This window comes from Homo sapiens, chromosome 17, assembly GCF_000001405.40.
Source record: "Homo sapiens chromosome 17, GRCh38.p14 Primary Assembly".
Taxonomy (NCBI): Eukaryota; Metazoa; Chordata; class Mammalia; order Primates; family Hominidae; genus Homo; species Homo sapiens.
Window position 1 is genome coordinate 77,322,810 of NC_000017.11, and position 12,323 is coordinate 77,335,132.

General features: G+C 53.2%; 1 protein-coding gene across 4 annotated transcripts in view, besides 6 other annotated features; it reads left to right on the forward strand.

Annotated features, from left to right (window-relative positions):
• Positions 1 to 12,323, forward strand: part of SEPTIN9 (septin 9) — a 219,098-nt gene that overhangs the window by 41,311 nt on the left and 165,464 nt on the right. The window lies entirely within an intron of this gene.
• Positions 775 to 948: a silencer, noted in NCBI's record as "fragment chr17:75319666-75319839 (GRCh37/hg19 assembly coordinates)". NCBI's record gives its function as "represses an EF-1alpha promoter that drives an FKBP-Casp9 reporter gene in an ReSE screen in phorbol 12-myristate 13-acetate-treated (for megakaryocytic differentiation) K562 erythroleukemia cells {active_cell/tissue: K562(+PMA)}" and the evidence as "EXISTENCE:reporter gene assay evidence [ECO:0000049][PMID:32094911]".
• Positions 2,235 to 2,504: an enhancer, noted in NCBI's record as "active region_12827". NCBI's record gives its function as "activates an Ori minimal core promoter by ATAC-STARR-seq in GM12878 lymphoblastoid cells {active_cell/tissue: GM12878}" and the evidence as "EXISTENCE:reporter gene assay evidence [ECO:0000049][PMID:35858748]".
• Positions 2,615 to 2,924: an enhancer, noted in NCBI's record as "active region_12828". NCBI's record gives its function as "activates an Ori minimal core promoter by ATAC-STARR-seq in GM12878 lymphoblastoid cells {active_cell/tissue: GM12878}" and the evidence as "EXISTENCE:reporter gene assay evidence [ECO:0000049][PMID:35858748]".
• Positions 3,116 to 4,034: an enhancer, noted in NCBI's record as "H3K27ac-H3K4me1 hESC enhancer chr17:75322007-75322925 (GRCh37/hg19 assembly coordinates)". NCBI's record gives its function as "activates a minimal SCP1, AML or CMV promoter by ChIP-STARR-seq in primed H9 embryonic stem cells {active_cell/tissue: H9 hESC(primed)}" and the evidence as "EXISTENCE:reporter gene assay evidence [ECO:0000049][PMID:30033119]".
• Positions 7,068 to 7,645: an enhancer, noted in NCBI's record as "H3K4me1 hESC enhancer chr17:75325959-75326536 (GRCh37/hg19 assembly coordinates)". NCBI's record gives its function as "activates a minimal SCP1, AML or CMV promoter by ChIP-STARR-seq in naive H9 embryonic stem cells {active_cell/tissue: H9 hESC(naive)}" and the evidence as "EXISTENCE:reporter gene assay evidence [ECO:0000049][PMID:30033119]".
• Positions 7,646 to 8,221: an enhancer, noted in NCBI's record as "H3K4me1 hESC enhancer chr17:75326537-75327112 (GRCh37/hg19 assembly coordinates)". NCBI's record gives its function as "activates a minimal SCP1, AML or CMV promoter by ChIP-STARR-seq in naive H9 embryonic stem cells {active_cell/tissue: H9 hESC(naive)}" and the evidence as "EXISTENCE:reporter gene assay evidence [ECO:0000049][PMID:30033119]".

Below are 12,323 nucleotides of genomic sequence, written 5' to 3' on the forward strand. Positions count from 1 at the left end.
TCAGGCTGCAAGCCACTGCGAGAGCTGCTCTGATCCCCAAGCATGCTCTGGCCTGAGGAGGAGCCATGGGGAGGACGCTGTGCCTGTGTGACAGAGGCCTGCCCGGCAGATGCCGGCCCGCTGACTTCCAGACGTGGCTGTGGGTGCCTCATGCCCCACTGGGCTGGCGTGTGAGGCGTGTCCAGCTCAGGCTGCCCTACAGCTGCCCAGGAAGGGTTTGTGGGAGGGGGTGGTCCTACCCTGGTGAGTCCACGGTGGTCTGCCAGCCCCAGGGAAGGCTTAGGAGCCCCAAGACCTGCCCTCTTGTCCCTCCCTCGGCAGTGTCTGGCTCCGGTCTGGTTTGTGAACGGGGGCCTGGGTACTCTCCCGCCCTCCCTGGGGGCTGTGGCCTTCCCCTGGGAAGGTGCTGGAGGGTTTGTCAGCAGGGCCGGCATGAGTCATGGAGTGGTGACTGGCCGCTGAGGCATGGAAGGCCACTCCTTCCAGCCAAGGGTCGGAGCTTTTTTTTTGTTCTGGAACGGCTTTGTGGCTTTTACAAATTAAGCAGTTTTATCTTGTTCCAAGAGCTTGTATTTCAGCAGGGAGAGAGTCTCCAAGAAGGGAACTTTCCACTGGGGAGCTCTGTTGGGCTGGGAGGCTAGGAACAGGCCACGAGGGAGGGCTGCAGGCAGGGGAAGTGGCCGTCTGTGCATGGTCATGAATGCAGGCCCGGGGTCCTGGAGGGGGCTTGGCCACGCTGTCGCTGGACGTCTGTCCCCACCAGGGTCCATCTGATGCAGTACGGCACAGGGTAAAGCCCAGCTCCTCTTACGGGGTTCCTGGGTCATCAGTGGGCGGGGAACCGAGGCCTCCTGGAGGGCGGTGCCTCAGCCCTCACCCCTCCCTCCTGTCCCTCGCTGTGCTGTCCCCGATGGCCTCTGCCATCCCCTGGGAGTTCTTACCCCTGGACGCTCGGTGCCTGTCCGGTCTCAACCTCTCCAGCTCTGCTTTTCCATCTCCGAGGTGAGAGGCCTGGCCTGACGCGCTCTGCACCCGCTTCCTGCCCAGCCCCGTGGGAACTCTGGTCCCTGTAGTGGTTTCCTGGGGCTGCCATCACCAAGTGCCACAAACTGGGTGGCTCAAAACACCAGACATTTCTTCTCTCGCCGTTCTGGAGGCCAGAAGTCCGAAATCACGGCATCAGCAGGCCTGGTTCTTTCCGGAGGCTCCGAGGGGGAGCCTGCTTCTCGCCTCTGGCAGCTTCTGGCGGCTCCCGAAACCCTTGGCGTTCCTTGGCTCGTGGCCACACCACTCGACCTCTGCCTCCGTTGTCACGGGGCCTCCTTCTGTGCCCTAAATCTCCCCCTGTCTGTCTCTCATACGGACAGTCTTTCTCGGATTTAGGGCCCACTGGGTAACCCAAAATGGTCCCATCTCAAGATCCTTAACTTCATAACGTCTGCAAAGACCCTTTTTCCAAATAGGCCATGTTCATAGGCTCTGGGGTGGATGTAAATTTTAGGGGCCACCTTTCATCCCCCTGTTGTCCCCGTGTGTCTGGATGCACAGCATGGTTCCATGTCCCAGACTCCTTGCTGGACCCCTCTGGCCCTTTGGGGTGGCCTTTGGCCTTTTCCACTCGTTTCTGTGCTCCTGGTGAGGTGTCGGGGTCGGGCTTAGCCCCTGCAGGAATTCTGGGGACAGCATGGAGCCGGCAACTCCCCACCAGGCGTCTTCCTACCTGCCCAGAGCTCATGGTTGTGAGGGGTCTCTCCTTGTGGTTTTGATTTGCAATTCCCCAGTGGTTAGTGATGTTGAGCATCTTTTCGTGTTTATTGCTCATTTGCACATATTCTTGCAGAAATGTCTGTCCAAGTCCTTTACCTGTGTTTGATTTGGATGATTGTTGTTGCTGAGTGTTAGGAGATCTGTAGATTAATATCCAGATACTAATCCCATATCTGACCTATGATTTGCTGCCATTCCATGGATTGCCTTCTCCCCACGTTGTTAGTGCCCTTTGATATGCAATTTTTTTTTTTTTTTTTGAGATGGAGTCTGACTCTGTTGCCCAGGCTGGAGTGCAGTGGCATGATCTTGGCTCACTGCAACCTCCGCCTCCCTGGTTCCAGCGATTTTCCTGCCTCAGCCTCCTGAGTAGTTGGGATTACAGGCACCCGCCACCACACCCAGCTAATTTTTGTATTTTTAGTAGAGACGGGGTTTCACTGTGTTGACTAAGTTGGTCTCGAACTCCTGACCTCAAGTAATCCACCCGTCTCGGCCTCCCAAAGTGCCGGAGTTACAGGCGTGAGTCACCGCACCCAGGCTGATATGCAAATATTTTAAACTTCTATGACGTTCCACTTTATCTATTTGTTCTTCTGTTGCCTGTGCTTTTGGCGCCATATCCAAGAAATCATTGCCAAATGCAACGTCAGGAAGCTTTTCCCCTGTGTTTTCTTCTAAGAGTTTTGTGGTTTTAGCTCTTGAGTTTAGGTCTTTGATGCAAGTTGAGTTGATTTTTGCATGTGGTGTAAGGGCTGGTCCAGCCTCATGCTCTGGGCTCTTGATTCACTTCTCTTCTTTTCTCACGCCCAGCTGGTTCCGCTGGGTGGCGGGGAGGAGTGGGGAAGTCCCGGGCTGGGCCTGCACTCGATCATCCCCTCTCAGGCCAGCCAGGGAGTCTCAGCTCCTGCCCAGGACCTGGCTGGACGTGCTCCCTACCGGGAAAGCCTGGGCCGTCTTTCTAGGCTGATGGCAGGGCCAGCCCGGGGCGTCCTGAGGCCTGCCCTGCGGACATGCCCCTTGTTCTAGGTGGTGTGGCTGCCCGGCCTGCGTGTGAGACCAGCTGTCTGTGCTTCAGGCCATGGAGGCTGAGTGTTTCCAGCCTGTCCCCTTGCTCGGCTCTCCCTCTGGGGAAGCCCCTGCAGCCCATTCTCTGCCTCCGCTTCTGCCATCTGTGCCTTTGTCTGCTTCCTGTTTGGAGGTGGTCATCCCTGGGGCCACCCCTCATGATCTGGACACAAGTCTCCATCCTGAAGCCACCACCCAAACCCCTGTGCCTCAAACCCCTCCCACCCACCACATGGGTTTCCACTGTGACCAACTCAGCAGCTGATGAAGCTTCCCTTGGGGCTCTCCTAGCAACGGGGAGCTGGCTTTCCCGGAGGCCTGGCCTCTCCCTAAGTGGAAGTGGGGCGTGAGGGTGTCAGCCTTTTTCTGCTGCCTGGTGCTCTAGGTTGGCTTGTCACCCCTGGAAGCACTTGCCATCCTTATACAGCACCCCACACCCACCTCCCCGCCTCCTACCCCTTCTTCCAAGGGGTCATCTCTGCTTCCCTCCCCACCCAACCTCACCCATGTGGTCCGCCCAGCAACCTTTGACCCCCAACATGACAAAATAAACCTCCCTTGCCGGTCACTCATTCATTCATTCAGCATTGGGTGCTCCCTGTGGACTTGGCGCTGGGGTCCCGTGGAGGACAAAGCCAGACACAGTCCTTGCCCTCATGGGACTGCACAAGTGCAAGACCACATCAGTAAACGTGAAACACAGGAAGTGACAGGTGTGACAAAGGGGACCAGTGGCAGGACAGAACCTGCGGTTCGTAGGACCAGGTCAGGAGGGCTGCCTCGGGGGGACACCTTCGGGCTGAGCGCAGAAGGATGAGGGGAGTAAACCAGGCTCAAACCCAGCAGGCAGAGGCGATCGCTGCAGGCAACCGGCAATGTGTTCAAAGGCCCTGGGGCGCGGGGGGCTGAGGCCGGCAGCACGGCAGGAAGTAAGACTGGGGTTGAAAGAGACTGACTGTCATGTTGTGAAATATACACTTGGTTTTCATCTCCATTTCCTGGCACACAACTCCTAAAATCCTTGGAATCTCCAAAGTGATGTCTTTTTGGATGCTCATGATTGACAGACCAGCTGGCAGCTTCAGGATGGTTCCCAGGGAAGACCAGGTAGAATCACAAGGTTCAGCACCACCCCGCAACCTCCAGGTAGGGGAGAGGGGCTGAAGGTTAAGCAGATCATCAGCGGCCAATGATTGAATCAATCATGCCTTCGTAATGAGGCCTCCGTGAACACTCAGAAGGATGGGGTTCCGGGAGCTTCTGGATGGATGAGCATGTGGAGGCTCCTGGAGGGTGGAGCGCCTGGGGAGCACATGGAAGCTCTGCGTCCCTCCCCCATACCTTGCCCTACACATCTCTTCCCCTGTATCCTTTGTAATATCCTTTATAATAAACTAGTAAATTCCATGAGCCCCAGGAACATGTGTAAAAGAAAAAAAAAAGAATAAACCATAGCTGCTGTAGCAAGTTAATCCTACCAGCACTGGCTCTCATCTGCCGACCTTACCTCTGGCAATGCCTCCCTCTCCTGGGCTCCTGGGACCCCTCCGGCCCCACCACCCCTCCTGTAGTGGTCTCGCTGGCTGCTGCCCTCAGGTTAGTTTATTTTTACCCGGCCTGCTCCCACCAGGGGCTGAGGCCTCCTTGCTCACTCCAGCTTCCTGGCCCGTCTCTTGCTCTGGGCACCCCCCCACTCCGAACGGCCAGAGCTTCTGAAGCCGCTCGCTGTGTGCCCCCGCCTGGCCCCATGCATCCCGCACGGTGCTCCCCAGGGTCTCCCACTGGCAAGGGCATTGGCATAGATTCTGGGGCTGCCTTGGTTCAAGCCCACCCTGACTTGGAGCCTGAGGGTCCCTGAGGGGGTCCTGAAGGCCAGGGCAGGCAAGGCTGGCATGCTCTGGGCAGTGGGGGCTGGGTATGGGAGGGGATCGTGGGTGGGGAGATTCCTCTTAACCAGCGGCCCACGTTTGGAGACTGATTTGGGCTCCAGGCTACGCCTTGAAATTGGGACAGAGAGTGGCGCAGATCTCAGCCCGGAGACTCCCTCTGCCTGTGGACGCCCTCATACCTCCATCCGTGGAGCCACCCTCCTCTTTTTTTTTCTAAATGGGGAAACTCTGACTTGAACACTGAATAAACAACACACCCTCGAAATCAGCGAAGAGGCACTGGCTCTGAAACTTTGCCATGAAAGCTTGAAAATGCTCTTTGGACCGATTTGCTGGAACAGACGGGTGTGATGGGGCTGCGGGGTTTCAGGTGGCAGGAGGCGTCCCCGTGCCTAGGGCATCCCGATGCTCAGAGTTTCCCCGTGCCCAGTGTGTCCCTGTATCCAGGGCATCCCCATGCCCAGGGTGTCCCCGTGCCTAGTGTGTCCCTGTATCCAGGGCATCCCCATGCCCAGGGTTTCCCCGTGCCCAGGGTGTCCCTGTATCCAGAGCATCCCCATGCCCAGGGTGTCCCCGTACCCAGGGTGTCCCCGTTCCCAGGGCGTCCTGTGCCCAGGGTGTCCCCGTGCCCAGTGTGTCCCTGTATCCAGGGCGTCCCCATGCCCAGGGTGTCCCCATGCCCAGGCACTGCCTCTCCCCACTTTCCTAATCTCCCTCCACCAACAGGTGTCAGCTGTGAAATGCCTGCTGTGTGTGTCCTTTGGTTGAGTTCATCTTGTGCTCTTAAGTTCCTGTTAGACACAGGCAGGCTGCTTTAGTTCTTCTGGCAAATGTTTTGTTGTTGTTGTTTGATACGGGGTCTCACTCCGTCACCCAGGCTGGAGTGCAGTGGCGCCATCTCGCCTCACTGCAACCTCCGCCTCCCAGGTTCAAGCGATTCTCCTGCCTCAGCCTCCCAAATAGCTGGGATGACAGGCGTCCGCCACCATGCCTGGTTAATTTTTGTATTTTTAGTAGAGATGGGGTTTCACCATGTTGGTCAGGCTGGTCCCGATCTCCTGACCTCAAGTGATCCACCCAGCTTGGCCTCCCAAAGTGCTGGGATTACAGGCATGAGCCACCGTGCCTGGCCCGTCTGGTGAATGTTTATTGAGGCCTACTATGTGCAGCCCCTCTCTTAGGTGCTTGGCCTGTAATGAGGAGCAACAAAGACACAGTCGCTGGTCGCTTGTTACTTAACAGTTGGAACTGAGAGGCAGTCCACAAATGAGCAAATCCATAGGTGGTTTTAGATGAGGACTGTGAAGAAGCTAAGAACAGGTTGCTGGGGGTGCATATCTGTGTGTGTGGCGAGGGGATTAATGGAAGCCCTTTCTGAGTGGTGACACTGAGCTGAAGCTGTAATGACCAGAAGGACCCAGCCAGGCCAAAATCCAAGGGAAGAGCAACCTGGCAAAGGAAACAGCAGGTGTGAAGGCCCGAGGCTGGAGCCTGGGGAAGGTGGGAGTGGCTGGAGTGTGTTTTCAGAGACGGGCCATGGTGACACCAATGCGACAGGCAGGGCCAGGTCGTGCCGGGCCTTGGAGGCCCTGGTGAGGGCTTGATTTTATTCTCACTATGGTGGGACCTCAGTGCCCTGTGGCTGCTGAGAATGGCCAGGGGCAGGCAGGGAGGCCTGCTAGGGAGGAGGCTGCTGCAGGCCCTGCAGCTGGAGAGGGAGGATCAGGATCTCTTTAGAGAGGAAGTTGGAGAGGGAGGATCTCTTTGATTGCTGGATGGACCCACCTGCCTGGCTGCCCCCGTCAGCATCCAGCAGAGGCCACTGGATGCTGACAGGTGGCCGGCCCTGCCCAGCCTTGCACTGCCCTGTGCTGCCCTGGTGGCTGCCGGCTTTAGGAGGAGCGCTTTTGGTGTCTGAGCCCAGTGGTCCTGGCTGTGGTTTGGTACACTTGGCCGTGGGTGAGGCCAAGGTGGTTTGGATCCTGGGAAGGTTGGGTACCTGGCAGCCTCAAGGCAGGAGCTGGGGTGTTGGAGGAGGAAGCACGCTCATCCCTCGTTCCTTCCTGTTTCGTGGGATGCTGAGTCTCTGGGCAGGGACATGGTGAGCCCTGGTGTGATGCACTTAACACCTGCTGGTGCCCCCATCCCCAAGCAGGAACCCTGGTGCCTGGTGCCTGAGGACTGCTGTCCACCGTCCCACCATCCTTCAGGTTTCTTCCCAGCCTCTGACTCGGGGCAAGGTTCAGATATCCAGAACATTCTTGGCTGGCTCTTGGAGCTGGGGTGAGGCAGAACCTCCCTCCCATATTTACAGCACCAGCCAAGGCTTCGGGGTTTGGACACCATCCCTGGGAGGGGTGAGCAGGACAAGTGAGGTCTCCAGACTTGGGGTGGCTTCGGACTGGCCAGGCAGGTGGGTGGGGGCTGCAGTCCATGCCCCCGCTCCAGGCAACACAGTCGAGCTGCAGCCCCCGCTCCATCCCCAGCTGGGGCTCCCTGTGCTCACCTTCTGCTTCCTTCCTCTCCCTCGGAATGGGGGGTGGACACTCCAAGACTAGCCTCCCAGCCACTCTCCCTGCCTCCTGCCTCCTCTCCTTCGGGACAGACCCCTGTGATCGCTGGGTGTTCCTGATGCTCTGTCCCCTCTGCGTCCTGTGCCGTGGGTGAGAGAGGGCTTCGGGGGGACTTCCCCCTCTTGGAGCACCTGCTGCTCCGGGTGCCTCTGGGGGCGGGCCCCCACCTCACATTGTGGAGCTGGTGTAGGAAGGAAGGTGCCGGGAGCCAGCTCCAATTCACGTGCTGGCTGTGGCCCTCAAGGTGTGGATGGCAGGAGGTGGTGAGACAGGGACTCATTGATCATGGGACTGACACCCCCTCATGTTGATGTGGGCCCTGAGCCATAATCTCACCAGCTCCTGAGTTTTGGCGCTGCTCTTGGCGATGGCGTGGACTCAGCCAGGCTCTCGGGCAGCCTTTCCTGGATTCTTCCTCCGTTCTCCCCTGGGCAGTGTTTCTGTTCACCTGGAAAGGATGGGTAGGACTTGGAGACAACAGGGATTCAAAGAAGTCGGGAGTGGGGGCACCTGTGCAGCTCACCCTGCAGAACAGACAATTTGGTTAAAGCCTAAAGCCTGCTGTCAGGAGCCTCGCTTGCCTCTCAGAGAGCACATGGCTTGACCATCACGGGGACTGGGGGAGAGGCACAGGCATGCCTGTCCGGCAGCAGAAGGGAACCCCGGGCCTGGGCCTCTCCATTCTGTGGCGTTGTCTTTCCTCAGAGTTGCACTGTCTCCTTCACTGTCCCTGCCTGGCCCCAGTGCTCATGTGGCTTGTGGCCCTCAGTCTGGGCTTGGTCTCCCGCAATTCACCCTGCCCAGCCCCACACAGCTTGTCCCTCCAGCTGGGAATCGGAGCTCACCTGGAGTCCCAGGCAGCAGATTCGATGCAGTGATGCAGGGCTGTCAGCCATGCCAGCAGGCCCTGCTGCTCACAGAGGGATGGGTATTGCTGTTGACAATAATTAAAGAACTACGGCTTCAGGCTGGGTACAGTGGCTCACACCTGCAATCCCAGAACTTTGGGAGGCCGAGGCAGGAGAATCAATTGAATCCAGGAGTTCCAGACCAGGCTGGGCAACATAGCAAGGCTTTGTCTTTACAAAAAATAAAAAATAATAATAATAATAAAAACTACAGCTTCAGAATGATTGACTTCAGCATGTTTATAAAGTCAAGGGTCTTCAGTGTCCTGGGCCTATGTCACTGCGTCAGAGGGAGAGAGGAAGAGGCTGGGGTGATGGGCACTGGGGCTTATGCTCCTCCTGGAATGGGTGGTCTTGGACTGTGCCTGTGTGATATGTTTGTCGAGCGGGGGCGGTGTCCACTGAGGACTGGATGTTGAGGTGTGGGTGGGGGGAGGTTATGAAGCACTGGGCATTTCCCGTGCACCAGTGCCCCGAGATTGCAGAGAGGGGACCCGCCCAGCCTGGGCAGGGAGGCGGGTGGCAGCGAGGAAGGGGAGAGGAACTCGGGTGCAGAAAGCCTTTCCTCCAGCAGGTGGCGCCGCAAGCTCTCGAGAGTCCAGCTCCTGCGGGGTTTGCATTTTCACTGAATTTGTGGGCAGAGGCTGCCTGGGTGTAGTTTCCGCCAACTGTGACTGCTCACTGCGGGCGAGGGGAAGTGGAGTGCAGAGAATGCACCGGAGGGCAGATGACCAGCCCCCGCACAGGCACGGGGGTGCCTCCTTCCCCGCACAGGCACGGGGGGCCCGAGCCCTTGGGGTTCCTGTCCTAACTGGGCGGGGAAAGGGAGGGTTGGAAGCTGAGTTAGGGGGAAAGGGGGTGGTCTCCTGCCATCTCTTTTATTTTATTTTTCCTATTTTTGGTTGATAGGTTTCAATCTTTTTTACATTTTTCCAACTTTTTGCCGTAAAACTTTTCAAACATAGAAAAGATGAAAGAGGGCTGAGTGTGGTGGCTCATGACTGTAATCCCAGCACTTTGGGAGGTTGAGGTAGGAGGATCACTTGAGCCCAGGAGTTCAAGACCAGCCCGGGCAATATAGTGAGATCCCATCTCTATAAAGGATACAAAAAATTAGTCAGGCATGGTGGTGCAGGCTTGGAGTCCCAGCTACTCGGAAGGTTGAGGTGAGAGGATTGCTTGAACCTGGGAGGTTGAGGCTGCAGTGAGCTGGGATTGTGCCAATGCACTCCAGCCTGGGCGACAGAACAAAACCCTGTCTCAAAAACAAAACAAAACAAAACCACAAAAAAGAAACCATGAAAGATTCTAAAGTAAACACCCATGCACCTACCACCTAGATTCCACAGCAACCATTTTGCTGTTTGCTTCACCACAAATCCCTCTGGCCACCAGCATCCACGCTGGTTTTGATGCACTTAAAATAAGCTGCAGAAATCAGCACACAACATCCTGTCAACACCTCAGTTTGCATTTCATTAACTAGAGTCCGGCATTTGTCTGTGATTATTTTTGTTTTTCTTTGAAGTAAAATGTATATACCCTGAGATGCACAGGTGTGAAACGTTCCGTTCTTTGAATTTTAACAAAGGTATCCACGTGTATCCCAGCCTGACCAGAACATAGAACATCACTATCACCCCAGTAAGTTCCTCATGCCCCTCCAGGTGCATCACAGTCCCCACCTTCCCCAGGGCAACCACAATTGTGCTTTTTTTCCACCACGAAATAATTTTGCCAGTTTGAGTGTTTCTTAGAGCTACCCATGTTGCTGCAGGTGCCAGCGATTTGTTCTGTTTTATTGCTGAGTAACGTCCACTGTGTGAACATTCTGTGGGTTTTTAGTCATTCTCTTGTTGAAAGACCCCTGGCTGTTTCCATCTGGAGGCTCTTATGAGTAAACCTGTTACGCTGGTTCTTCTTGTACAAGTTTTTCTGTGCATATGGGCGTTCATTTATTCTGTAGAAACACCTAGAGTAGGTATAGGGTAGGTATACATTTAGTTTTATAAGAAACTGCCAGATCTTTTCCCAAAGTGGCCCTTCCATTTCACACTCCCACCAGCAATGGATACGAGTTCTAGTTGCTCCACATCCTGGCCAACATTTGGTGCTGTCACTCTGTGAAATCTTAGTCATTCTGGTGGGCGTGTAGTGGTATCATCTCATTATGGCTTTAATTTGCTTTGGCCTGATGACTAATGCGGTTGAGCACATTTTCATGATTGGCTCTTCATATATTTTTCCTTTGTGAAATGTCTTTTCAAATCTGTTGCTCATTTTAAAATTGGGTTGCTTGACTTTTTCTTCTGGATACTGATCTTTTGTCAGATACGTGTTTTACAAATATTTTATTCCAGTCTGTGGCTTGCCTGTTCATTTTCTTTCCTTTTTCAAGAACAAGGTCTCGCTGTATTGCCCAAGCAGGTCTGAAACTCCTGGGCTCAAGCTGTCCTCCTGCCTCTGCCTCCCCAAGAGCCGGTTTTACAGGCATGAGCCACCATGCCCGGCCTGTTCATTTTCTTAGTGGTATTTTCCAATAAGCAAAAGTGTGTCACTTTAATTTTTATGAAGTCTAATTTAACAAACTCCTTTCTTTGTGGTTCTCTCTCTGTGTTCTTTGTAAGAAACCTTTGCCTACCCTGCCAAATTGCAAAGATATTTATGTTTTCCTTTAGAAGGCTTAGAGTTATATAGCTTTTATGAATTAACTTTTGCATATGGTGTGAGGTAGAGGGTCAGGGTTCATTTTGTTGTCGTTTTATGTGTTTATTCAGTTGTTCCAAACTTCATTTTTTTTTAAAGCTTTTATTTTGTATTTTCTTGGTGACTTATGAGGTCGCACAATTTTCCAAGATCCTTGTTGGTCATTTACGTATTTTCCTTTGTAAAATTATCTGTCCACGTCTTACTTCTTTTTAAAATTATGTTGTTTCAAGATCGAGTGATTTCTGAAGCCTTCATTTTATAATGCTTGAAAGAATGAACACCTTGTTCCCCAGCTACAGGCTTCTGCTCTTTGTCCTGCAGCTGCACAGTGGGGTAAGACTTGGGTTTTGTTTTGTTGCTGCTTTGTTGTTTCTTCATTTGACTGTTTCCCCATGGGTCTCATTTAAAAAAAAAATTGGCCGGGCACAGTGGCTCACGCCTGTAATCCCAGCACTTTGGGAGGCCGAGGCGGGCAGATCACGAGGTCAGGAGATCAAGACCATCCTGGCTAACACGGTGAAACCCCATCTCTACTAAAAATACAAAAAATTAGCCGGGCGTGGTGGCGGGCGCCTGTAGTCCCAGATAATCGGGAGGCCGAGGCAGGAAAATGGTGTGAACCTGGGAGGCGGAGCTTGCAGTGAGCCGAGATTGCACCACTGCACTCCAGCCTAGGTGACAGAGCAAGACTCTGTCTCAAAAAAAAAAAAAAAAAAAAATGTTGTTTCATATGTTTTTTATATATTCTGGATATAAGTCCTTTATCAGATATATGTATCATAAGTTTTTTTTTCCACATTGCTCCTTTCCTTTTGGTTTTCTTAATGATGTTATTTAATGAGCAAGAGTATTTTGTTTTCATAAAGTCCAATTTATCAACTTTTTCCAGTTTCGATTTATGATTTTTGTGACCTATGGAGGAAATCTTTGCCTACACTAAGGTCAAAAGAAGTTCTCTTATTTTCTAGAAATTTTATAGTTGTATATTCTATGATTCCTTTTATTTTTTAATTTTTTAAATTTTTACATTTTTTAACCTATTATAGCCGTCAGGATGTTGTATGATCCATTTTAAATCAGTTTTTGTATTTGGTTTGAGGTCAGGGTTAATTCTTGTTTTTCTATACTCATATCCAGTTCTAGCACCGTTTGTTGAAAAGACATACCTTACTCTATTGAATTACCTGACACCTTTGCTAAAAATCATTGACTGTATATGTGGCCCTATATTAGTATATGTACGTATATACATGTAGGCCCTGTGTTGACTGTATGTGTGGTCCTATATTAGTATATGTACGTATATACATATTGGCCCTATGTTGACTGTATATGTGGTCCTGTATTAGTATATACATATCAGCCCTATATTGACTGTATATGTGGTCCTGTATTAGTATATGTACATA